At 32.3% G+C, this 26,188-nt stretch overlaps 1 protein-coding gene across 13 annotated transcripts in view; it reads left to right on the top strand.

Annotated features, from left to right (window-relative positions):
* Positions 1–26,188, top strand: part of EPHA5 (EPH receptor A5) — a 350,923-nt gene that overhangs the window by 239,557 nt on the left and 85,178 nt on the right. For all 13 annotated transcript variants that reach the window (NM_001437320.1, NM_001437321.1, NM_001437313.1 and 10 more), the window contains 2 exons: positions 10,368–10,492; positions 16,490–16,649. In NM_001437320.1, coding sequence (NP_001424249.1) covers positions 10,368–10,492; positions 16,490–16,649 — 285 coding nt within the window. The remainder of the gene's footprint in view (positions 1–10,367; positions 10,493–16,489; positions 16,650–26,188) is intronic.

Here is a 26,188-nt window from a genome sequence, read left to right as displayed (position 1 = left end):
AGTTTTTATCAAAGACAGTTGTTTCTCCTATTGCTTTTTATAATCAGCTTTGCAAAGCAGTAAGGAAACTGAGCAAAAATTAAGACATTTATATACTCAAAGAAGAAATTAGATAATCTGAATAATCTTTAACATAATTGTATGTGCGATGACATATTAAATGTAACACTCTATTTAGAGCTATTCTTTCATTATTCTATGGAATAATACTCAAGAATACAAACTCTGAAGAAAGACTGCTAAGGTCTGCCAATTCCTGGTGGGGTGAACTTGGATAATTAACTTCTGTGCATCAAAAAGGGACGATAATAGTTTCTACTTCCTAATGATGTTAGGAAGGATGAATGAGTTAATGTATATAAAGTGCTTAAACTATAAACTGTCTGGCACATAATGTTTCTTATAAATGTGATATATTATGTATTCTTATGGTACAGCAATTACAGTAGCCTCATTATCTATGTATTCATACATACATCTATTTGTTCATTCACTTAGCCAATATTTGTTAAACAATTCTCAAAGCAAAATTTGGACTTAATTCTTTCTAATAATTGAGTTTTTTTCAAAATACATCTTGAGCACTTTGCAGCCAGTTTTATTTACATTTTATTTACTTTTTAAAATAAATAGGAATCTAGACTACTGTTCCAGTGGAACAAAAAATATGGATTTTATGCCATTTAAACTTATAATGATAGATATATAATTATATATTTTATCAGCATTAGAAATTTCTCTGCGTGATCTGTTTGAGTAAAAAATGGCCTTACATGTGACTTGAGCAGCAGATATTTCCCACAACTGAAGAATATGTGGTTTCATTCACTAAAATTGGTCCCATGGCTTAAAAATTAAATATCTGGTAACATTACTAATGTGGAACAGAATGTTGTGATTTGGCTTTTTTTCTGGACTTTAAAAGGTTGACCAGCTGCAATCACTAATCCTGTATTTTCTCTAGTTCCAGGCTGTCATGTTGCTGTTAGAAATGATGCTATTTAAAGATATTGTGATTGGGATGTTTATGAGAGCTGCTGATAAACACTACTCAGGTCTCCCAGTCATTCTGTAGCCATAAAGTTTATTTTTTTGTGTCTACTGGCATAATATCAGATTTTGAAGAAATCATGTCAGATGGTATCAGCGAGAATATATTTCAGCAGAGAAGATGTGGTGGTCCTGAATTTTAATAGTATAATAGAAATTCAATCTGGTTCTTTAAACAATCAATAGATAAATAATTTAATATCACAATTCCTAGTGAATTAAATTATTCTGTTGTTCATTTGGCTATATAAGACTAAGACCAATGAGAAGTGAGAAAGGAAAATGAATAGGTTCTCTATATTTATGATGTGTTTGTTTTGCTTTTAAAAATGCTTGATCAGATTGGTTTAAATTGTGAAAATTTTGAAATAATTAACAACTGAATTAGAGTTTGCACTTTATGGCCTTGTTACTGTTAGTGACTTAGTCTGTGGTTGCCAAAACCCTATTTAATGTGGATTTATAAGAGGAGACTAATTTTTTCTTGTTAAACATAAGCTATAAAAATTTGTTTCTGAGCTAATTACTACTTAATTTCCTGTAAAACAAACTGCAGTATTCCATAATGGAAGTTTGATATTGATAAAACATTATTGAAAATTGCATATGGGACTATATTCTCTTGAATATAGTATAACTGAATAATACTGAGCTGATTAAAGTTTTCCAAATGCACCACGCTATCTGCTAGATATAGCCTCATTTTATTTTACTACAATACTGTAAAAATTATTTGAATTCTGTTTCTTGTAAAATGGGGATTGTGGTTATTAAGATCAAATAATCATTGACACTTAGGACTCTTCGTGTATTAAAAATTCTATTATAGGATAATAACAAGTAATGAATGGAAAACACATTCAATGACAATTAATTTGGTGTGAGATTAATTTTGCTATTCAGAAGGAGGCATGTTGCCATTATACACCTTGTTACATTTAATATTTGTTACTGTGATTTGCACTGTTATTTTACAGAATACTATGAGTGCCAGTGATATAGTTTTCTATTTTTATTATTGTCATTTTCTTTTCAAGTTAATATCACTGTGAATGTGACTTCAAAACAATATTTAAAGTGTATGATTTCAACTATGAACTGTAATCACACCAGAAATTACTTCTTGGCAATTAAGTTACTTTCGTTTCCTGCTGGAAGCAACTAATTTTTAATATTTTGTGATTTTCAAGTCTTTGAAAAAAACCAAACTATACTGAATGGTGCATTTTAGTTTATAAATTCTTTTTATTAAAACAGATACCGTCTCTCTAGAACTACTGACATTTAAGGCCAGGTTTTGGTAAAATGGTCGTTTCAAAACTTTACTGAGGTCATATATCAAAAGATCCAGTTGCAGGCTTTTAAGATGGAGTGATTGTAGGTTTTTGTCTGAGTGAGCAGATTGAATTTTTATTTGAGAAAGAAACCTTTAAAATACCTTCTTTCTTTAGTACAGAACATGGTTAGGTACTAAGTGTGTTGAGAATGCACTGTTAGTTACTTTTCCTGGCCCAACAGTATCAAATGACAACACAGTAAGAAGGATATACTAAGTATGTAAGTATATAAAATTTATGTTATGTATTATAAAAATATAAAGGGTATAATATTGCACATTTGTGAGTGTGTATATTATGTCTGCCTTACTTTTCTGTTAATAATTTTGAATAAGTTTATAATTCAATAACTGCAATTCTCATTTACTTTAGGAAATTTAGTTACTCATTTTCTTACATTCAAATGCTAATATGTACCCCAAAACAAAGATAGCAAAGTAATCACTATATGTAGCTTTATTTATTAAACCAGCTACAGAAGACGTACATGATTCTCTTAGAGATGTATGTATGTCTATGTGATGTGTGTATATATGTATATATAAAATAAAATATGGATTTATCTATATCTGCATTTCATTTAAAAATATATATGTAGTCTGTGGGAGGCAGTTAAATTGTTACATGATCATACACATAGATAGTAAAGATAAATACTGAAAGACAGTATTATACCAAAATTCAGTGTAGACAGTATTATACTATTATTCAGATAGATACTGAAAGACAGACATGAAAATCAAAGATGTATTCACTATGCTAATGCCAATACTATTTCATCTTAGAAAATATAAACCAAAGATAAATTCATTGGATGTAGGTTTTGTAATTTCCCATGTTTCTCTGGAAATTCTATAACTGTAGCTTAGGTTTTTAGATTAGCTAGGGCTTGTCTTCCTATTTTTCCCTCTTCCCTTTTCCACCTTTGTGAAGAAGTGAAAGAATGGAAAGCCTTATGAAGAGAGTCATAAGACACATAGATTTAAAACCATACTTTGTCTTTCATCATTTCAAAAATCTGTTCTTTACTGAAGGAATATATTTTATCTTAAAAATATACTCAAGGACGGGGCGCGGTGACTCACGCCTATAATCCCAGCACTTTGGGTGGCCGAGGTAGGTGGATCATGAGGTCAGGAGTCGAGACCAGCCTGGCCAAGATGATGAAACCCTGTCTCTACTAAAAATACAAAAATTAGCCGGGTGCAGTGGCAGGCGCCTTAACCCCAGCTACTCGGGAGGCTGAGGCAGGAGAATCGCTTGAACCCGGGAGGCAGAGGTTGCAGTGAGCAGAGATCGCACCACTGTACTCTAGCCTCGGTGACAGAGCAAGACTCCATCTCAAAAAAAAAAAAAAAAAGAATACACTCGAGTTTTATAATTACTAAACATACTTATACATATAATTGTCTCTCTATATATAAATATGAAATTGTGTGTGGGTATATTCGCATATATATTCTTGGACTTTTTTTCCAGTAACTCTTATTTTATACAAATAGTTAGGGGTGGTAGTCACTTGACTTCTAATTCTTTATTTATTCTTTGCTCCAGAAGTCTCTAGATTTCCTTGAAATTCTTTAATAACATTGTTTACTCATTTTACTATTCCCTGTCCTATTCATATGTAAGTCAGATACATATTCAATATATACTAGATTCAAATATAGTTCTACCTATATTGTGCTGTGCCAAAAACAAATAAAAAATATATTGCTTTGAAGACATTTATACTGAAATTAAACAGGTAAGTAACTGGATGACAGGTGGTGAGAGCCACTCTTGGAGCAAGAGGTTACAGATAAATAAAGTGAGGAGACTAGAACGATCCATGCAATAATTGATTCGACTTAAAAACTATAAAGTAGGACCATGTGCTATATATCCTTTATTAGCTTTAAATCCCAGAAAAATAATTTATGCATGTTAGAAAAATTAAATGCCATTCTATGCTCCAGGAATTTTCAAGGCACATGAGATATATCAATAAATAAGACAGTAGAAGTACCTCCCATCATGGAAGCTATATTCCTGTAGAATATAAGACAATACACAAGTAAAGAAATAAGCATATCATTTCAAGCAGTGCCATTATAAAGAAAAATAAGAAATTAACAAATGGTCAATCAGTCAGGAAGTTAATTCTGAAAATATGACTTGTATTTTAAAGACTTGAATAAAGTGAAGGGCAATTTAGAGGAAGATAAGGAAGGACATTCTAAACTAAAAGAAATGCAAGTGTAAAGGGTCTGAGGCAGGACAAATTTAGAGTGCTCAAGAAACATATAGAAGGTCATGTCCATGAAAGGGAAAATCAAGGAAAGATAAAATAAAATCAAGGAAAGATAGTTGACTTGATGACTTGAGAAATTTAGGCAGAGGATAGAGCATGTGCAACCTAGTAATCCATAAGGCAGGGTAGTGACGTGACAAAATTACAGCATGAACAATAACACACTGGCTGTTCTTAGAAAAACTCCCTGAAGGCCAGGAAGGTGTAAAGAAGTAGTCCAATTAAGAGAAAAATCATGGCGTCTTCAACGAGGGTGGACGCGGTTATACATTTTACGAAGTTGTCAGAAAAATATTCTAAGGACTAAGCAAGCAACAATGAACCAGACATAAGATTTTTCTAATTTTATAGATTATCAACAGACTAAACCGAATTATGGCATGAATGAACAAACAAATCAAATTACCAACAAATACTAAAGGGTCAGGAAAATACCAAATATAAGCAGAAATAATCCTCACAGAAAGGCAAAGTTGCTAACAATGATTAGGATAACAGGCAACAATAGTGAGCCACTGGTTCAAGTCAGCAGCAGTTCAGAAAACCTCAATACTGATCCAACTTTCAGCCTCAGCTTTCTAAGTTTGATTTTTTATAAAAGAAGCATTAATAATAATTATTATTTTTAAAATAGTAATAATAATATTTTTTAAAAAGAAGAATTAATCCTAGTATGGTTTGCCTTAATTACTTCCTGAATTTTACTGACAAAATGATTCCACCAGAGTCTTTACTGAAAATACAGAATCTTGGTCCCAACTTGACCTACAGAGTCAGAATTTTCTGGAGAGAAGCCTAATACTCTGTGTTGTTTTGGAATACTGTAGTGGCCTAGACATGCTTCATTAATAAGACCTGCTTCATTAATAAGAAGTACCTTAATATGATAAAGTGTGCATAGCAGTGAGAAGTGGGGGCTTCCAGCTGGCAGATACTGACAGTTCATTTGGCCAAATTTTAACCTATAGAATCAAATGTAAAATACATGTATTTTTAAACCTTGTGTTTAAATGAACTAACACATGACTGACGTGTAGGGACTTCAGTTGGAAAGTTTAAAAAGTGTCATCTGATGAAGTTTTTAACACATTCATGGACTGTCATAGACTGAAAAGATTTCAATATTGTTTTATTTACCTCTCTCTAGTCTTTGAGACTTAAAATATGGGTATATAAATCAAATGCATGGAGTTTTATTTATTTATTTTTTTAAATACAAGTAACCAATACTTGATTCTATTTATAATTTACTGCCTACACAAAAAGTGTTGGCTATAGGGATGCGTGAATGGTATTTTCTTATTCCATTTGACACAGCTGAGATTCATGTTTTCATCATGTTCACTTTGTTTTAAAGAATGAGGAAGATATTGTTCTATACTAAGTGTAACTATCAATGTTTTAATTGACATTAGAAAGCCCAACATTTTAATTAATAAAATTAATAAAATCAAGGAAATTTACTCATAACTTTTTATTAATTTAGAGTCATGAAGCCTTGGATGCAGAAAACAAAGCATCTCATCTGTGTAAGCACTTTGCCTTTGGATCTCATCGAGCATTTTAAAGCAGTGCCAAGTTCAGAGAAGAAGCGACAAATAATTTTGACTGATAAAGGATAAAACAGTTAAAGAATTGTGGAAAATTCATCATTGAAAACTTCTTAAACAATTTTCTAATATTTTACAACCGATATTATTACAAATAGTATTTATTTGGCACCCACCCTGTACCTGACATTGTACCTGAAGAATAAGATGTCAACCTTCAAAAAATGAATTTATATTATTGTTCCTATTATAAAGATTGAAAGCACATTTATAAAAGTTAACTAACTAACAGAATTACATAGAAATGTCTGGCTGCCAAAATACCTGAAGTCAATTCTATCAGGCTTCAACGTATCTGTACCATGGCAGGCCTTTCCATCTTGGAACACTGTGCCTTAAACTAGGTTTCTATATCTGAAAAGTAAGGAAGATATATTGTTTTATACAACTGATGACAGGATTTTGTATATCATTGATATCATTGTTTGTGTCATTGGGATATTAGAGGTTTCTACATTATATCATTATCAATAAGTCAAACAGACACAGATGAACAATTCTGAACAATTCAGTACATACTAGACATATGTACTGGAACTGAATAATTAAGTTCAGTTGAATGGCTGATGGTGGGACTCACCATTAGAGTGGGAGGTTACAGATAAGTAAGGTGTGAAAGCTAGAATTATTTATGTAATAATTAGAGTTCGCAACATCAGTATATATGCATCTTTAGGTTAATATAGATATAGGTAGTTATGTATAGGAATATGTATAGATATACACAAGTTAATATACACATTTATGTCCTTGTCCTGTCAGTTAGAGGGCTTAGAAGCAATGGCACCTCAGTGGCAAGAAACACACTCAACACCCAGATCTTGGTTTCTAATGCCTTTTCTAATAAATGAAACCAGTGCTCCTTACAGAAATGAATGACTCTAGGACTGGAGCAGTGAATAAGCAAGATGAGCCTAGAGCATCTGGTCTTTTAGTCCCAGAAGATAAGAAAATAATGTAGAAAAAAAAAAAACAGACAAACCCATAATGATGGGGGTATATCAAAGAGACATAGGAGCTCTGAAAGAGCTTCCAATGGCCAAAGCGTTAGCAAATTAAGTAATAAAATAAAGTATTCGACTATAAACCAAGGTATAAAAATATCCATGTCATATTGATGTAAATAATTACATAAATTTAAAAATGAAGAAAAATGGACAAATTTCCCATGCAGAAGAATTTCTAATAATTTAAGTAGATATTCCACCATCAAGAAAGTGAATTATAAATTCCCACTCCTTAAATGTGGGCTACAAATAGTGACTTTCTTCCAAAAAGTACAATATTGAATGCTGGGGAAAAAATGTTATAGTGGAGGAACAGTAAACCCTATGTCACTCAGGAAATCAAAGGTGACATAACGGTGATGATAGGTAGATAGTGTGTACCTTCAATATGATGTAATAGGATTTGCAATTTACCTTTGTGGTCATACCCCAAAAAACCCACAACCCCATTTTAATCATGAAAAAACATTAAATTAATCCCAGTTGAGAGACTGCTTACAAAATACCCAACCAGTGTGCTCCAAAAGTGTCAAGGTCATCAAATCAAGGAAACTTTGAAAAACTGCCATAACCAAGAGGAGCCTAAGAAAACATGATGACTAAATGAATGTGGTTTGCTGGATGGAATCTCAGGACAGAAAAAGGACATTAATTAAAGACTAAGGAAATCTGAATAAACTGTGGACTTTAATTGATAATAATCTACCAGTATTTGTTAATTAATTGTGACAGATATAATGTGCTAATGTAATATATTTCTAATAGGCGACACTAGATGTAAGGTATGTGGGAATGCTATTATCTTATTTTTCTATAAAAATAAAGCTATTCTAAATTTAAAACTTTAAAAATTTGAAACAGACAAGGCAATCAGTTCATAATGGGAACTGTAGTAGCCTAAAGGATCTCCATTTTGCATATCATACTAGTATGCAAAGGTTAGCTCTAACACAGAAGGTACAATATGGAAAGAGTTTGGAATATTTCCACATATCTTAAAGCTACAACTCAGAAGTTTGGAAATTATTTTATACTCTTCACAACTTGATTTCCTTGGTACTTTTTTCTATCCTTATACAGGGACAGTAATAGTTTTATGATTTGACATCACCCATCAAAATTCTACAAGCATAAATGCTCTAAGTCATCATTCTCATTTGATACCAGACTTAAAAGGTTGAGCAGGCAGAGAATGGGCAAAAGGTATCAGTGAGGGAGACAAATAAGATAAATTGAGCATGCTCCTTGATGCTGACAAACCTGGTTACAGTTATTTTAATGTGCATAATACTTGCAGTGGTGAAGGATTGCTGCCATTCACAATTTGTGCATCATCATTATGTCCCCAGGAGTTGTCAGCATCCCCACTTTCATCAGCTTTACCCAGAAGATGCAAAGATGCTCTTGTCACAGAGGAAATTATCCCTGACCTATTCTGAGCTCAGAAATGGTCTTCTCCCCTCATTCTAAACCAGTATTTTAAAGTGTATTCTTAGCTACTGAACTGAGTTTGGAAAACACTGGCGTTTGTTAACTAAGTGTTTGAAAGTGAAATAGTTTATGCTTAACTTTGATTAATGCAAGTAAATAACAAAGTATTCCACCTTAGGCTGTTTCTGTGTTGGTATTTATTTGTTGTCTTTACCCACAAATGATTATTTTATTGAAGAACTGATTAAGTTTTAAAATGAAGCACAAATCCCAAACTAATATTATCCTAGTATGTGCACCTATGAGACAAATTCAGTTTTGAATGACACATAATTAAATATGAATTTGCCATTCATTCATCCATCCATCCATCAATTCATTCAACAAATATTCATTAAATTTCTATATGCTAAACAATTTTCTCATCTTAGAAATGTAGCAGTGAACTAAACCAAATCAATTCCTGCCTTCATGAAGCATACATATTAAATATAATTTATGAATAGCAAGGTGGTAATACCACCAATTCATTAGGTAAAAACTGACAGCTATCTCCAAGAAATAAGTAAATCTAAAAAAATGATTTTACTATAGTAAAGTGAGTGAAGAACTTTGAAGACTTAGTCTTTCTCTGCGATTTTTACTGTTGTGTTATGAAACATATGTAGTGATAATGGGAAATTGAGCATAATTCATGATTCAAAATAATTCATACAGATATTCACTACTGAACAAAATATATTCAAAACTTCATTGTCTTACTTAACCCTCTGTTGTTTCTATTTCAGTAATGTTAGTACTTTTCAATAAACACTACAGTGAACTAGGAGGCCCATAGATTACTATTCTATGTTGCCATGTCTTTTAGACATGTTATCTATACATATATCAGCAGATTGATAAAAAGAACTTTGACTCAAATATTCAGATGTTTTGCAAACTCAAAATATCCAGACATACCCGAAAGAGCAGATATATAAGTCCTATTTTCATTAGACAAGTGGTGGTTTCATAGACCCGATATAAAATTGTGATGATCACCAGAAGTGATTATGATTTCTAAGGAAATATATGAGAAAAACGAGAATAAAAAAAGTTTATTTTATTTGCTCTTATTTTAAAGTGTATCATATCTTTGGTGGCATGTTTCTTAAGGAACCTGCCCATGTTTAATATATACATTTATTAATGATTTTAGGATCCATGTAATTTCAAATGTAATAAATTATAAAAGAGAGTTTGTGTTGTGCAAATGCAGTAATATAATCATGTATCTATTAGCATAATGGGATATGTCATATAGAGCTCATACATTTTAGAAATGTAGAAGATACATAAAATAATCAGGAATATCTTTATTCTATAAATTATGAAATAAAATAATTTATGTTTCTAAACAACTTGGAAACAATATAGAATACAAATAGTTTTATTATGAAAAAATCCTGAGGATATTTAGCTGATTTATATTTGTAAAAAATCTTCACAATCTTTAAACCTTATATAGAAAAACTAAAATTTAATTGGGATTTTTTTTATATTGCTACGTTCTCAAAATGCCAATATACGTAATAAACATAACAGGTTTACTTTTAGGGCCTTATTAATCATACTGCTCCTTATTTAAACTATTTTGCAGCTCCATCTCCAGTCACCAATGTGAAAAAAGGGAAAATTGCAAAAAACAGCATCTCTTTGTCTTGGCAAGAACCAGATCGTCCCAATGGAATCATCCTAGAGTATGAAATCAAGTATTTTGAAAAGGTAAGACTAACAGAATAAAAAATGTCCTCACTTTCTTTTTTTTTTCATTTTAGCAACTACAATTATCCAACTTGCAGAAGAGTATGTTGCAATTTTATGTGTAAATCAATGACAATTGATTCTGCAGTCATAATTATGGAGGCTAGAAGTGTACAGGGAGCTCTCTATTCATGTTCTGCTGCTGCCACATAGTTTACACTGCTTAGATATAGCCATATAGTCTAATATTGGCTTAACTGAGTTGCACAGCATTAAAAGATGAAGTCATAGGGCATTTGAAAGTGTTACAAATACTTAAGCTATAGACTTTCAGTAGTGACTGCAGTGTGCTAACAGAGAAATGTGTGCTTATGGCCAGTAACTCAACATAACACCTATACTGTTAAGGAGATAAGAAAAAAGATGAGACACATATATCACATACATTTTTTAAAGATTCTTAGCAAACATCTGGCACTGTAGTATAAAATTTATGTTTAAATTTCAGGTAAAAAATAAAAAATGTATGCATCACGTTCCCTATATTTTCTTGATTTCCCCTTGTTCTCTGAGTCTCTTATAGCCACTTTTAAACATTTTACCGTAATAGCTGTCGAGGTCTCAAGGTTGTAATAAACTCTTTTCCTCTTTTCTGAATTCACAAGCAAGTGAGCTATTGATGAAAGAGTCATACAGATGGAAGCTGAAAAAGCTTCTAATTTCTAAAACTGGGCTGGAGTATGTGGCTCAGAGATGTAGCCACCATGAGTCTTCCTACTACTCCCGCCCCATTCATCTGTGATTTTTCTACTGGCTGGACCTGAATGGCATACGCACCTTAGGACAACCTGAATTCTAAAAGAGGAGCTAAAGATAGATGGGTACCCAAACCAGCCTTTGAGAAGTGGGTTGGAGAGTCTGAGCTAGAAATATTGGTCCTATGGAGGTAGGAATAGAAATGAACAAGTAAAAAATGCAGACATGCAGATCCCAAAAAAGAAGAGAAGGACTGAACCACGCTACTTACTCAATTGCTTTTCCAGACTCACAGAGACATCACTCCTTCGTTTTTTCTGGAAGAGTAAAAGGGATGGTAGGAAATACAAAATCTTACTTTACAATACCTAAGAACTTGCCCAAGCTAGGGCATTGGAAAAGAGAGGGAGAATAAATGGTTCTCCTCACCATCATGAAAAATGCTAATGTCCTATTAATGAAAATTACTTAAAAGTGCAACTATATATATACATATATACATGCATAGATAAAAGAGTTTAGGGCCGGGTGCGGTGGCTCATGCCTGTAATTCCAGAACTTTGGAAGGCTGAGGCGGGTGGTCGCCTGAGGTCAGTAGTTCGAGACCAGCCTGCCCAACGTAGTGAAACCCTGTCTATACTAAAAATACAAAAAATTAGCTGGGTGTGGTAGCGGGCACCTGTAATCCCAGCTGCTCAGGAGGCTGAGGCAGGAGAATTGCTTGAACCCAGGAAGCGGAGGTTGCAGTGAGCCAAGATCGCACCATTGCACTCCAGTCTGGGCAACAAGAGCAAAACTCAGTCTCGAAGCAAAAAAAAAAAAAAAAAAAAAAAAAAAAAAAAAGAGTTTAGGTAAGTGTATTGAATGTTAATTTGTCACAGTATACAAAATTCAAAAATAAATTTTCTTCTTTCATTCATTGATTCAACAATTGCCTGTGTAAAAATACAACAAAGAATAAAACAATGGGGAGGGATGGAGAAAGGCTATCTACATATTTACAGGTTTTTAATGTTTCTACAATGTTCGTATATTGATTTTACTAGTAGATAAATAGTCAACGATTTTTGAAATAGTCATCTTTCTAGGAATGTCTTACTGGTAGTATTAAATGCAACTATCAGATAATTCCGAAACATAAATGATGACACATACTTCAAAAATAGGTTATTAAATACATTATTCACCAAAAATGCTCTTAGAGAATACCTCTGAGACAAAGTTATGTTGGGATATGGTTAACACTGTTTATTGTCAACAAAACTGTAGTTAATCAAGTGGAATATAGTGACATTAAACTTTCTCACTGATTACTGTTCCCGTGAGATTACTAGTAACAAACAGCATTGCAAATTCCAGAGGTCTACAATTTAAACATAGGCTATATCAAAAAACAATTTGTAAAATTAAGGTTTATATTTCTTATTCAAGTTTTTGTAACCTTTGTTACTCTATACTGATGCAAAGCTATGTAGAGTTATATAAATATATATTAACACATGCTGAATTCTGTTGTGAACATTGTTTCTCAATTTTCATTGCGATTAAAGTTGATTTTAAAAGAAGGTAAAATGCAAAATAGAATTGTAAAACATCCAGTCACCAAAAACTGTATATTTGACTATCTGAGATGCAATAAGGGTTAATAGCTGGGAGACTAAAAGTTTAACAAGTACTTACATTTTCTTTTATCTCTGAATCAACTAGCTGGATTAATGCTGGCTTTCTTTTTTGTCCTTGAGGAAAGCATCCTATTTTTTTTCCCCTTATGAATAACCTTTGATATTTTTGTGACCACTTCCCAGCATATGCATTAGTTTCATTATGTATATAATATTCAATATTAAGAAGAATTTATCTTTTTAAAAAACGTTGCTGCTTCTGTTACAACAAAGAGTTATTCAACAAGTGGTAGGGAGGAGTTTCTATTAAATATTTATCCACATTGTGATATTATTTTCTTTATAGTTTAATTTTTTTTGAGTTACATTTATCTCAGTATGATTTGGTCTTATATTTAATAGTTCAAATTTAATGCTGTATATTCCATTATATGATCTGTATAACTCAAATTAAGAAAAAATGACTTGGGAAAAAGGTTTCTAAACATATTTCCAATAAATTAATAATAAGTTGCCTATTTACATTCATTAAAAGCAGAAAAATCTTTATATAATATATTGGTGGAAGTGATTATTTTGGTCAGTGTTTTCCTTTTTAAAATAAAAGTATTAATTCCCGGACCATCGTGTGTGAGCCAAATATTTGAGCATATCTACATTATACCTATAAAGATTTTTTAAAGACTTTCATTTATAAAAAAAATGGATTATGAGTTTTTATACCATGTATTGAGTTAGGGGTCCTGATAGGTTTTCAAAGCTGATTTTGAGCTTTCAGAATGACACCACCATTTATTGGATGGCTTTTGGCCAGACACAGGTGGCAGAGCTTTCCAGGGCACATGCATTTGCCAGCTGGCATTTCTGCCTGTGATTGCCCTGCTCTAATAGAGGTCATTGGGCTTCTCTGCTACCGTGTGATGATGGGCTCATTGCCATCTCTTAATTAAAGGCAGAGGCAAAGGGAAGCTGCCCCTTGGCAGGGTGTTTGCCAGCTGGCTCCTTCTGCTGAGGCCGTCCCCTCACTGCATGTGAACAGTGTTTGCTAAGCAGCTGGGGAATGTAGCTCATTTGCTCAGCTGGGGCACGAAGGCAGGAAAAGTCACTGCCCTGACCAAGGACTTGGCAGCAGGGCAATTGTGGGTGTTGACAATCTTTACATAAAGTTTGTGATATGTAGAAAATTACAATATGAGAGTGATTTAAAGGAATGAAACATAATTAAATTTTGGAAGACGCTTAGATGATTCACAATGTGTATTCGTTGGTTTTGATCCACTAGATATATGCTTCCCTAAATTTTCTTCAATAACTTATGTATGGCAAACTCAGAGAGAGCCAATGTACAATTAAACTCTAGCTAAGGAACAACTGAGACATACATAACGTTAACAGTTAAATCAGACAGAATGTTCTGCAATTGATATTAGATCACACCTTATTTCAAGGAGCAGCAGCCCAGTTTCCTTGTATATGTTTCCTTTTTGGCAAAAAAGTATCAATTTCTAATATTTTTACAAAATGTATTCATTGTACCTTCAGTAGTTAGTGTTTACAACTGTGGAAGCTTTTAAAAATTGTTTCGTTTTTTACTTTTCAATGGGGGAACTTACCATCATGCTATAGAGTTAAAAGTAATCCATTCTACATAGAACCTATTTTGTAGAGATTACGCTTGGTGGTACATGCATTATTTTTATCTCTATCTCCTTCCAATATTCTTGGTAAATAATTTTATCTCCATTTTAAGGAAGAAAAAACTGAGGTTCAGAGTTGTTTACCCACATTTTCTCATCTACTTAATAATATGGCTGGAATTCTAATGCTGTCATTGAGGCCTTCTTTTAATTGTTTATATTATAAATGTTAATCCTTTACGTAAAAATGAAAATTTTATAAAGTCTATCAGAATTTTATACTTAAATTCTGACTAGATTTTTTCTTTAAGTTAAATTTTCTTTAAACAAATATCAGCAAACAGACATTTAACTTACTTACTGAGAGTTACTACTGCAATCATAGCCAGACTGGAAAGTTGAATATTATTGAGAAATATTGCTTTTAAACAATATGGGAAAATAATATTTTTCAATAATATGGAGAAATAATAAATAATATTATCAGGTTTATTCCATTAAGAACCTGTGCATTCTCAGAAAAATTAGTAACTGTCATAGTTTATAGAAGCTGTTTACAGTTGTTAAAAGGAACACATTAAGAAATTATTTGCTTTTTACTGCTATGATCCTAGCATACAGAAGGGGTAATAGAGTGGATAATGGAAGAGCATTACACGTTTGTCAATGAAGAAATTTCCTGGTATTATTAGGTAAAGTTTTACAAGATTTAATTACCTACTTTGAATCCTTGGCTCAAATTTAATAAAATTTCCTAAATATATGAAAGTTTAGATAATTAAATTAATTTGCAGTTTAAAAAATTAAAGATCAATCATTTGCCTAGGATGAATCAGAAAATGTGCTATTTGGCTTATAAATTATACCATACCTATTTAGAGAGAATTTTGGACCTACTTAACTCTAAGATAATTTTATATGATTAAACATATTACAAAAGGAATGGTAAATTGCTTTAAAAGAAAAATGTTTATAGATTGTATATTTTAGATAGTATTAGTGGTAGTTAACTTTGACATTACATATAAGAAAGAATTACAAATATTTAAAATAATTATGAAAATTAAAACATATATTGTAGTTTATGAACTGTTTTCACATATGTTACCTGTTATATTTTTACAACATCTCTGTGAGGAAACCCAAGCAAGTCTCTACCCAGTTTTACTGATAAGGAAACTGAATATAAAAGCAAAAATGGACCCGTTATATTTGAGCATGTGATTTCTGTATCCATGGTAAAGTTGGTGTGGTAACTTCACAGAGATAATAAGGAGCTATGGATGGTTAGTCTAAACTTTTGTTGGCATCAAAATAAAAAGTTCCTCTTTGTTTCAGTTCCCAAAACTATCTTTCCAGTAATTTTTTTCCTAGTACATCTCCATTAACTTAGCCCCTCCAAATCAGGACATTTTCAAAGATAAATAAAAACGTTTTGCTTATCTGCATTTTTCTTTAATGCTTTCTATTTAGACTTAGTGAATTGAAATTAAATTTCACCAGTGAAGTACTAATTTCTTACCTTAAGAACTAAATACAATTAGAAATTGAATTCACTAATGAGTTAAAGCATAAGTCTTACCTCACAGAATGGGAGATGTTGTTAACTTTCTGTATGAATAGGCAGTATGTTAGACATGCTCCGATTAACTATATTGGAGGGAAAAAAAGCACAAAAATAACAATACTAAAATAGAGTCTGTAAAATAATCAGTCTCCTACAACATTATGTTTTCAAAGTTTTAGAAATTTATTACTGCCGAAGACATGTATTCCGGATGGGTGGACAGTATGTCACCCACCACCTTGAGTTCTAGAAAAGACTTTAATATTCTATGTAAATAGCACACCTAGGATGTGTAGGATTTTTTTCTAAAATGTTATATTTGTACTAATAGAGTCCTTTGGTTTCTGATTCATTTTCTGATCTATGATTCTAAATTTTGCTGTCATTAGTAATTTATATGCTGTCTTTTTTATTGTATATGCATGCGCATCCCAAGGACCAAGAGACCAGCTACACGATTATCAAATCTAAAGAGACAACTATTACTGCAGAGGGCTTGAAACCAGCTTCAGTTTATGTCTTCCAAATTCGAGCACGTACAGCAGCAGGCTATGGTGTCTTCAGTCGAAGATTTGAGTTTGAAACCACCCCAGTGTGTAAGTCATTTTAATTACTGTCAGCTCATGTCTCAGTAATGGTTACCAGAAAAGAGTCAGTGGATCAATACCCTCCCTGGGCACTCTGTCAGTCTCACTCTCCCTCTCTCTCTCCCAGGCATGACCCCTTCAGGTAGGAAGCATCTGTCATGCTATTATGGTAGGTCGGCAGGTTAACACGTTGGTCCGTGCTCCTCATTGCATTCAGTCTTCTGGGAGATGGTACTTCAGGAGATACTTTAAAAATGTTTAAACTTGCTTTTAAAGACTTTCTTTCTACTGCTGCCATACTTTATTGAATTATTCCCATTTACTTTTTTAGTCGTTTTATTGAACTAGGCTACTAGGTTTAGTCTTTCTTTGAAAATTCCACAGGGAGCTTTCTTTAGCAGTGAGTTTGGCAAGAAAATGGTGCTCTCAGGAACTAATCTGATCTCATAAAATATATTAAATCTCTGGCACTGTCTTTAAGTGGAGAATCTGGGAATATTTTTTGGAGCACCCTTTTTGAATCACTTTTTTCTCTATAAAAATAGCGTAAAATATTTTCCTTTAATTTCAACAAAATATTTATGTTACTTACTTGCCCTAAACACATTGAAAGAAGAATTCGAAGACAGAAATAGACGCTATTAAAGTTATTTGTGAGGAAATACACAGTATTGTGAAATGGCAGAAGTATATATGTGTGTCTGTGTGTGTGTGTATTTGCTTTAAGCCAAGTTACATAAGAACTAGTAATTTTAAAATAAAGAAAATAAAATGCATGCTTCCTTTTTTCAAAAATCAATGAAATGATAATTCAGTTATGAATTTACTTGGTAAGAATCAGAAGAGTTATTAAATTAAAATGTGAATAAAACTATATTATACATCCCCTTTGAAAATCAAGATCTTCTTTTTAAAGCATATTTAAGTGAATTATTTAAAAATATTTTTTATTCCTTTAAAATAGCTTTCTAAATGTTGTTTCACTGAATTTTATAAAGAAAAGGGTGCCATTGTAAAAAATTATAAATTTGTTTTCTACGCAAAGGAAAATCCATGAGTGAAGTTTAACTGAAGCTACTGAAATTTGAACTTCTAATGCTATTCAGAAAATTTTCTTTTCTTACTAGATTTAATAGGAACATGTGATATTAGTCTGAAAATTCTCGTAATATTAGTAATGGATTGTTTAATCCTGCACCTTGAAACTAAAAGGGATGTAGGAAAAAAGGTATGCTATATAAGTTAGCCATCTTAACAAGACTTGATTCTATTTAGGTACAATTAGTAATAAATATTGCTTATGTGGTCTACCAACTCTGGGAACAAAGCCGTAAATGAAATCTCAAACTATGCTTGAGTGCTTTGATAACTATACCAATGAAAAATCCCATTTAAAAAAACAACTGTAAATTCTACTCAGTTTTAGGATGTTGGCACATTCAGCAACTGGTTTTTCTTCAGGCTTTTCAATATTCTATCATTTACATATGTATTAAATGGTAGCTACCAGGCACACCAAAACTCAATCAGATGACTTAGAGGACTAATACTTAATCATTTCCTGTTTACTTTTACAAAATTTTACCTGAAATAAGCTACTTTTAAAACTTTTCCTATATAATTTCTAAAGAAAAAGAAATATCTCCCACTGTTTTTTTATTACTGAAGTAGATTGTAGCATTATTTTTAATAGCTAATGAAAATACTTCAATATCATACTGCCTCCTAGCTACGAGTAAAATCTTATTTTCTACTCATATATGTGCAAATATATTTAAAAACTTTTTAAAGAATGAATGTATTATTTGTAGAGAGTATCTATTAGATATCAATTCCCTTTTGATCTTTATGTATAATATTTTCTGAATATAATTCAACAACAATAGTTTATTGAACACCTATAACATATTAGGCTTTGCTAGGCCCTGAAGAAATCAACATGAGTAACAACACATGGAAACTTCTCTCCAGACAAAAGGAATATACTGTGTTTAATTCTAAAATATGGAATATTTGTTTCAAAGAGCATTTTAGAGTAATAGTTTTGCTTGTTTATTTATTTATATTGAGAGAGTCTCACTCTATGGCCCAGACTGGAGTGCAATGGAGCTATCTTGGCTCACCACAACCTCCACCTCCTGAGTTCAAGCGATTCTCCTGACTCAGCCTCTCAAGTAGCTGGGATCACAGGCATGCACCACCACGCCTGGCTAAGTTTGCATTTTTAATAGAGATGAGGTTTCTCCATGTTGGTCAGTCTGGTCTCAAACTCCCGACCCTAGGTGATCTGCTTGCCTTGGCCTCCCAAAGTGCTGGGATTACAGGCGTCAGCCACCGTGCCCAGCCTAATTTTGCTTATTATTTTAAAATTGATTTTATTTAATTTCTAGCCATCAAAGGGTTTCTTTTTAGCTCAAGATGCTGTAAGTGACTCAAATAATTCTAAGGAATAATCCCTTCTTTCTCAAGGCCTATTGTCTAATAAAGAATCAAAGAAGATACACAATGATAATTAAATTAATACTTTTTTCCAGAACTTTTGTATTGTATTTTTGTAGTATTTTCTGAAATCCACATTAATTATTTTACTGGGCAATTATTTACTTCATACCATATTTTAATTCTTTATGTACATTTATTATTTCCCAACCTATTGGTATTTTTCCTCGTTAAGCTATCAGTGATTTTTATTTGGTAAGTCATAGTTAAAGAGTTCTGGCTTTAATGAGCCATCTGTACTAAGAAAAATTGATTTTATCAGTCAGGTATGTAAGAATAGGAAATTATTTTAAAATTTCCCTGAGTATACTTTTTAAAAAGAATTTTCCAATTGCCTGTTCAATTCATAAGGATGATACAAATAATGAAACATTGACACTTTTTGGCATTTTTATATAATTTATTTTTACTAATTTATATTACATTTCCGTCATTTGTCAACAAAAAGTTAAAATGTTATGAGTGCTTTTATTTTTCATTGACATTATCTTGTAAGTCAAAATATAGCCCTAAAGAGAAATGCAAACAGTAGTACCAACAGGAAACGCAAAACTTTTTTTTTAGAAAAACTATTTAATATGAAGATTTGGGTAGAAAATCTCCAATTATTCTTCCTCTGCCATGCTTTAGTTTATGTCTTATAACTGTTAACTTCTTCATTTTAATTTTATCATGCATAAAAATAATATATTTAAAATTGATTTTTTACATTACCCCCATTCTCAACAGCAGTGATAAAACAAAACAAAACAAAACAATATATCAACAAAGAAACTTACCATGAATAAAACCATTCAGCCAAACTCGTTAGACCCTTTTCTGGTTTCTTTTAACATAATTTATCTTGAAGCTTTGAGACTGTAACGGAATCTATCTTAACCTTTACATGCCCAAGATTTATCAATCACATTTGTGATTCTTTTAATTTTTAAAAATGCATCACTTCCTTTTATCTAACTATATCTATTTGTCTCAAATCTGTGTAGTCTGAATGAGGAAATAATGATATTGTGTTTTTTATTAAAAATTGTATTGAGATAATTGTGGATTTGCATGTAATTGTAACAGCAATACAGACCACTCTTATACACTTTACCTAGTTTTCACCATGGTAATATTTTACAGAACCATAGTATAATATCACAACCAGAACATTTGACGTTGATGCAATCAATCCACAGATCTTAATCCTGTTTTCTTGTATTCCTTTGTAAATGTGTATGTGGATACGTATGTGTATTAGATTCTACGCCATTTGGTCACTTGTACAAGTTTGTGTATCTACCACCGACCTCAAGTCATCAAACAATCCCAATACCGTAAAGATCCCTTGTGTTGCTTTTTAATAAGCACACCCACTGCCTTTAAGAACAAATGTGTTATCACTAAGCCCTGGAAACCATTCATCTGCTGTTTATGTATAACGTTTTCAAATTTCAAAAATGTTTTATAAATAGAAACATGCAGTACGTGCCTTTTAATTTGGAATTGGCTTTTTTCACTTAGCATGATTCCCTGCAGATTGATCCAGATTGTGGTGTATATCAAGTTTGTTTATTTTTATTACTGAATAATATTCCATAATATGTATGTGCCACAATTTGTTTAACCACCATTAATTTGTTGAAGGATGTCAGGGCTGATTACAGTTTTTGCTATCACAAATAAAGATACTGTAAACATTTGTATACAGATTTTTATGTCAAAGTAAGTTTTTATTTCCCTAGGATGAATTTCCAAAAGTACAACACTGGATTGTATAGTAATTGTATATCTAATTTTGTAAGAAACTGCCAACATGTTTTCCAAAACGGCTCTATCATTTTCCGTTTCCACCAGCAATGGATGATTGATCTGGTTTCTTTACATCCTTGTCAGCATTTGGAATTGTCATTATTTATTTACTTATTTGTCAGTCATTTTGAATAAGTGGGTAGTGATATCTCATTATTTTGAAAATCACTGTTAGCTAATTACGTTCAACATCTTTTCATGCACTTATTTGCCTACCATACTGTTTTTAATGTTTCCACTGATTCTACATACTTACATTACTTATTAAAAATTATGCCTTTGATTAAGTTACCCTGATTAAGAAAGTTTATAGATACCTATTGCTGTGAGAGAAGGATCCCAAATTCTTACTCTGACCTGTAGCCTTATAATCTGGCTCTTGCAATTATTTTAACCTTCAGTGATGAACTCTTCACACATATAGCTGAGGCAATAAAGTCTAGAGAATATCCACATAATATGGGTCTACAACCAGGAGTGTGGGAAGCAAAGTGAAGTTAAAAATGTGACTTCTCAGTATATGCTGCCTTAAAATTTCCAGGCATGATGCAAATGTATAATGATTTTTTTAAGAAACATTATTATTTACTAAAGAATATTACCTTTTTTCCGGCTTACAAAGCTCTTTTATTTATTTATTTATTTATTTATTTTTTATTATTATACCTTAAGTTTTAGGGTACATGTGCACAATGTGCAGGTTTGTTACATATGTATACATGTGCCATGCTGGTGCGCTGCACCCACTAACTCGTCATCTAGCATTAGGTATATCTCCCAGTGCTATCCCTCCCCCCTCCCCCCACCCCACAACAGTCCCTAGAGTGTGATGTTCCCCTTCCTGTGTCCATGTGTTCTCATTGTTCAATTCCCACCTATGAGTGAGAATATGCGGTGTTTGGTTTTTTGTTCTTGTGATAGTTTACTGAGAATGATGATTTCCAATTTCATCCATGTCCCTAAAAAGGACATGAACTCATCCTTTTTTTATGGCTGCATAGTATTCCATGGTGTATATGTGCCACATTTTCTTAATCCAGTCTATCATTGTTGGACATTTGGGTTGGTTCAAGTCTTTGCTATTGTTAATAATGCCTTAATAAACATATGTGTGCATGTGTCTTTATAGCAGCATGATTTATAGTCCTTTGGGTATATACCCAGTAATGGGATGGCTGGGTCAAATGGTATTTCTAGTTCTAGATCCCTGAGGAATCGCCACACTGACTTCCACAATGGTTGAACTAGTTTACAGTCCCCCCAACAGTGTAAAAGTGTTCCTATTTCTCCACATCCTCTCCAGCACCTGTTGTTTCCTGACTTTTTAATGATCACCATTCTAACTGCTGTGAGATGGTATCTCATTGTGGTTTTGATTTGCATTTCTCTGATGGCCAGTGATGGTGAGCATTTTTTCATGTGTTTTTTGGCTGCATAAAAGTCTTCTTTTGAGAAGTGTCTGTTCATGTCCTTCGCCCACTTTTTAATGGGGTTGTTTGTTTTTTTCTTGTAAATTTGTCAGAATGTTAATTTTTATAATTGATGACCTTTCACCATAATGTGTTACATTGCTTCAATATTTTCTTTTAAGTGTTCCCATGATATTTCCCAGCTGTTTTTCCAAAACAGCATCATTAATAAACTAATTTTCTTAAACATAAGAAAATAAGAAACATGCATAACTAAAGGTATATATCTTAAAGATTAAAATTTTAACAATATGCTAACATGATTACCATATCTCCTACTTGACCTAAATATTTTTTTCTCACTCCTAAACAAACCAACAAGCATGAAGGCATTGACAGTACCCTGTAAATTATTTATTTTCACCTGAGTTAATATAATTAATGATATCATTAATGCCCTCAGGTCCAACAAAAGAATAAACAATTCAAAAATCTTGATGAATCATTTCTTATTAGAAATAGCTCACAAATTAATTCATGCATGTGAAACAGTTAGTAATTAAAACCTGAGGTTATGGTGGGCGAATCACTTGAGCTCAGAAGTTTCAGACCAGCCTGGGCTAAATGGTGAAACCCCTTCACAATAAAAACAAAAAAAAATGCAAAAATTAGCCATAGGTGGTGGTGCAGGCCTGTAGTCCCAGCTACTCGGAAGGTTGAGGTGGGAGGATCACATGAGCCCTGGCAGCAGAGGTTGCAATGAGCCGAGATCATGCCACTACACTCCAGCCTGGGTGACGAAGTGAGACCCTGTCTCCACAAAAAAAAGAAAATGTAAAACCCATCAAGGACTTTAGAAAATATTGTAAATTTAAAATAATAATAATAAAATTATATAAATAAATTAAATTAAAATAATAAACAAAAATATATTCTTTAAATTCTTCCTCACAAAATAGGCTCTGATTGCTTTTTATACAAAAATGATCTGATTTCAGAGGACATTAGATAAACACATAGAATATTAATGTTTGCGATTTGATGTTACTTATAAAATATGTTCATAAAATGTCTTAGCATTTTAACAGTCTTTTGAATGTCATTAGCAATTATTTTAATGCAATATATTTTTCTACACAGAGGTGCACTACTTTAGCACATTGTTAATTTAGGTCTTGGAAATTACTAAAAATGAAGAATTTGACACTACCAAAATGTTATATTTTTTCTCAAATTTAATACTTTGGCCAATCTGAAGTTACTCTGTTTTTACCCTTATTTCTGAGTAATTGTGGACTCTTCCTCCAAAACTGTATCTGTGAGAGTTCCCAAACTGGCACATTAAGAGTGGGAATAATTATCAGACTTAGATTAGAAGGGCTTCTGAATGCTAGACTGAGCATTTGAGAATTTTCTTCCAAAGGTAGTAGGACTCTCTAAAGTTTTTGATCAGGGAAACATCATAAAAATGATATTTTAGATATTTAATTTGAGTACATAGAAGGCTGAGAGAACAGTTAAAATGCTATGAACCATATTCCACCATTTTCATTATACAGATTTGAATCAAATAGGTGAGTGATGGATAAAAATAATTGATGTATGGGGAGAAACATAAAAGAAACACAATAGTATCTGATAATTAATGAACAAGCAGAAGTTAAGAAAGATTTAGTAACAGTTCAAAGAAACCAGAAAGAGATCAAACCAGTTTGATTTTTTTGTTTGATTAATGATACGTTTATTTGCTGATATATGTTTTTGTTAATGCCTTTGGGGGTAGATGTGGTATAAGGGCCAATTTTAAACATGTTAATTTTTATGTAACAATAAAATCCAAACAAAGGGCTAAACAGTTTGTTCTAAAAAAATGAAAGGATTCTTTGGAGAGAAATAAGGGTTGGAGATATAAATTTGTCACCCTGAGAGTTGTTAATTGACACCATGAAGGAAGAAGTATCAGAAAGAGGGAGAAAGAAGGGGAGGATAAAAAACAAAAATACAGAAAGAAATGGAGAGAAGTGAGAAGGGTCAGGAGTGAGCATTCATGAAGAATCATTCATACATTGCTGTGGGAAGAGAATATGAAGCCATCAGAACTGACAAAGCAGTGCTTCATAGAGAGGGACGGAGTAAAACAGCTTGTCTGATGCCATAGAAACCAAGAGGAGGAGAGTTTCAAGTTTAAGGTATACGTTTAGCTAAGTCAAACGCCTTACAATGGTGGAGGGTAAGTTAAATAGAGAAGCACTCATTGCATGTGGCAAATATCATCTGTGGAATTCAAAGGCAGAAGAATAAAAAATTTCAGACAGAATTTTAAAATGCTGGACCTATTTTCCAATTTGGATTGAACTAACCCTAGTAAGTTTAGATATAAATATTTATTTCTCCCTAAAGGTGATATCTGCTTAGGCTTGTAAGCAGCAGAGTAGTTTATAAGGCAGCAAAACCCTCTCCCAGAGGGAGATCTTTGAAAGTTTAGCATTTCTCAAATGTGGGAAGTGGGAATGGATTAATACACGGAGCAAATGAAGACGTCTCATTACGGGGATGATTTTACTAGGAAATTAATTAGAGAATTAAGGCATTCAAGCAGCAGTTGCAGCTCACTCAAGTAACATTGAGTTTCTGAGTGAAGTCTGGATGGGTTTCTCTAGAAACAGTGACCTCTGCCAAAAAAAGAAGGAGAAAGAGAGAAAAAAAATAGTGGTAGAAATAATATGAGTTTAGAGATTAATAAAGCAGACCTTGGGGAAAGGGTACTAGCGACTCTGGGGGTAGTTTTTTCCTACCTCATTTATACTGTAGCCAATAACTAAATTTCTTACCATAGACCTTAGCGTCAGAGACTAGGAGAAAACAGGGTAATACTATTGTATATATTATGCAAAAAGAGAGAAGGTAAGAGCACTGACTTATATTGAAAATAATAGTTTTACTCAAAACAGCTGTTAATAATATTGGGATCTAACTACTGGTCTAGAATATTTGAAAGTAGATCAGTGCAAGAGGGTCCTCAGCAAATCACTTAGTTTTGGTAGAAAGAATCAAGAACAATGTGACTAAAATAGAAAGGGAGGTATTTGGAGATCCAAATCTCTTGGTAGACCAACATCTGGTATGGGGTTGTGAAAAACAAAACACAGATTGTTATTAATTTCTATGACAATATTTGATACCATGAAGCTGAACTAGTGCTACTTTGAAGTTATCAAATTGATCATGTCATTAAACAAGAAGCATGCTAGATATTCTATGGAGAGATTCTCATGAACATTAGTACAATTTATTTTGCCCTATAAGGCGTTTTATTTTAATCAAGATTAGTTATCAGCACAAAAATAAAATTTATTTGCTTATTTAAGTACAACTACCTAATCATGTTCATATTCCTCTTATAATGGGAATTTTATGCTAAAATCTAAAATGTTTCATCTAAATCTATGTATATAAAGAGTAGGTGATGTAAATGTATCCAATCGTAAGATAGTTTTCTATACTTCTAAATGTTTACCTTCATATTTTTCAAAAAGTGAATTTATTTATGAAATATATTGTGCTTTACATTGTATTTTTATAATAATATTCAGAATAGTGATATTATATTTTACTTCAATGAGGTCATAGTCACATTATTTTGGTCATCAATGTCTCCAATGTCTATGGGGAAAAAAATCCCATCTGGGTTCATCAGATTCTTTTCTAGAGAACAGCAGAATACAAACTCTAAAAATGTCAAATCTTATATACCTGGCACCTCCTATTTAGATTAAGGTGTTTGAAGTCAATAAAGGAGTTCCATTTTAATTCACAGACCTAAGGCCCCTAGATGAATACTATGCA

Source organism: Homo sapiens, chromosome 4, assembly GCF_000001405.40.
Source record: "Homo sapiens chromosome 4, GRCh38.p14 Primary Assembly".
NCBI lineage: Eukaryota > Metazoa > Chordata > Mammalia > Primates > Hominidae > Homo > Homo sapiens.
The sequence above is the reverse complement of the archived record's forward strand: the minus strand, read 5'-3'. Positions and strand labels throughout refer to the sequence as shown.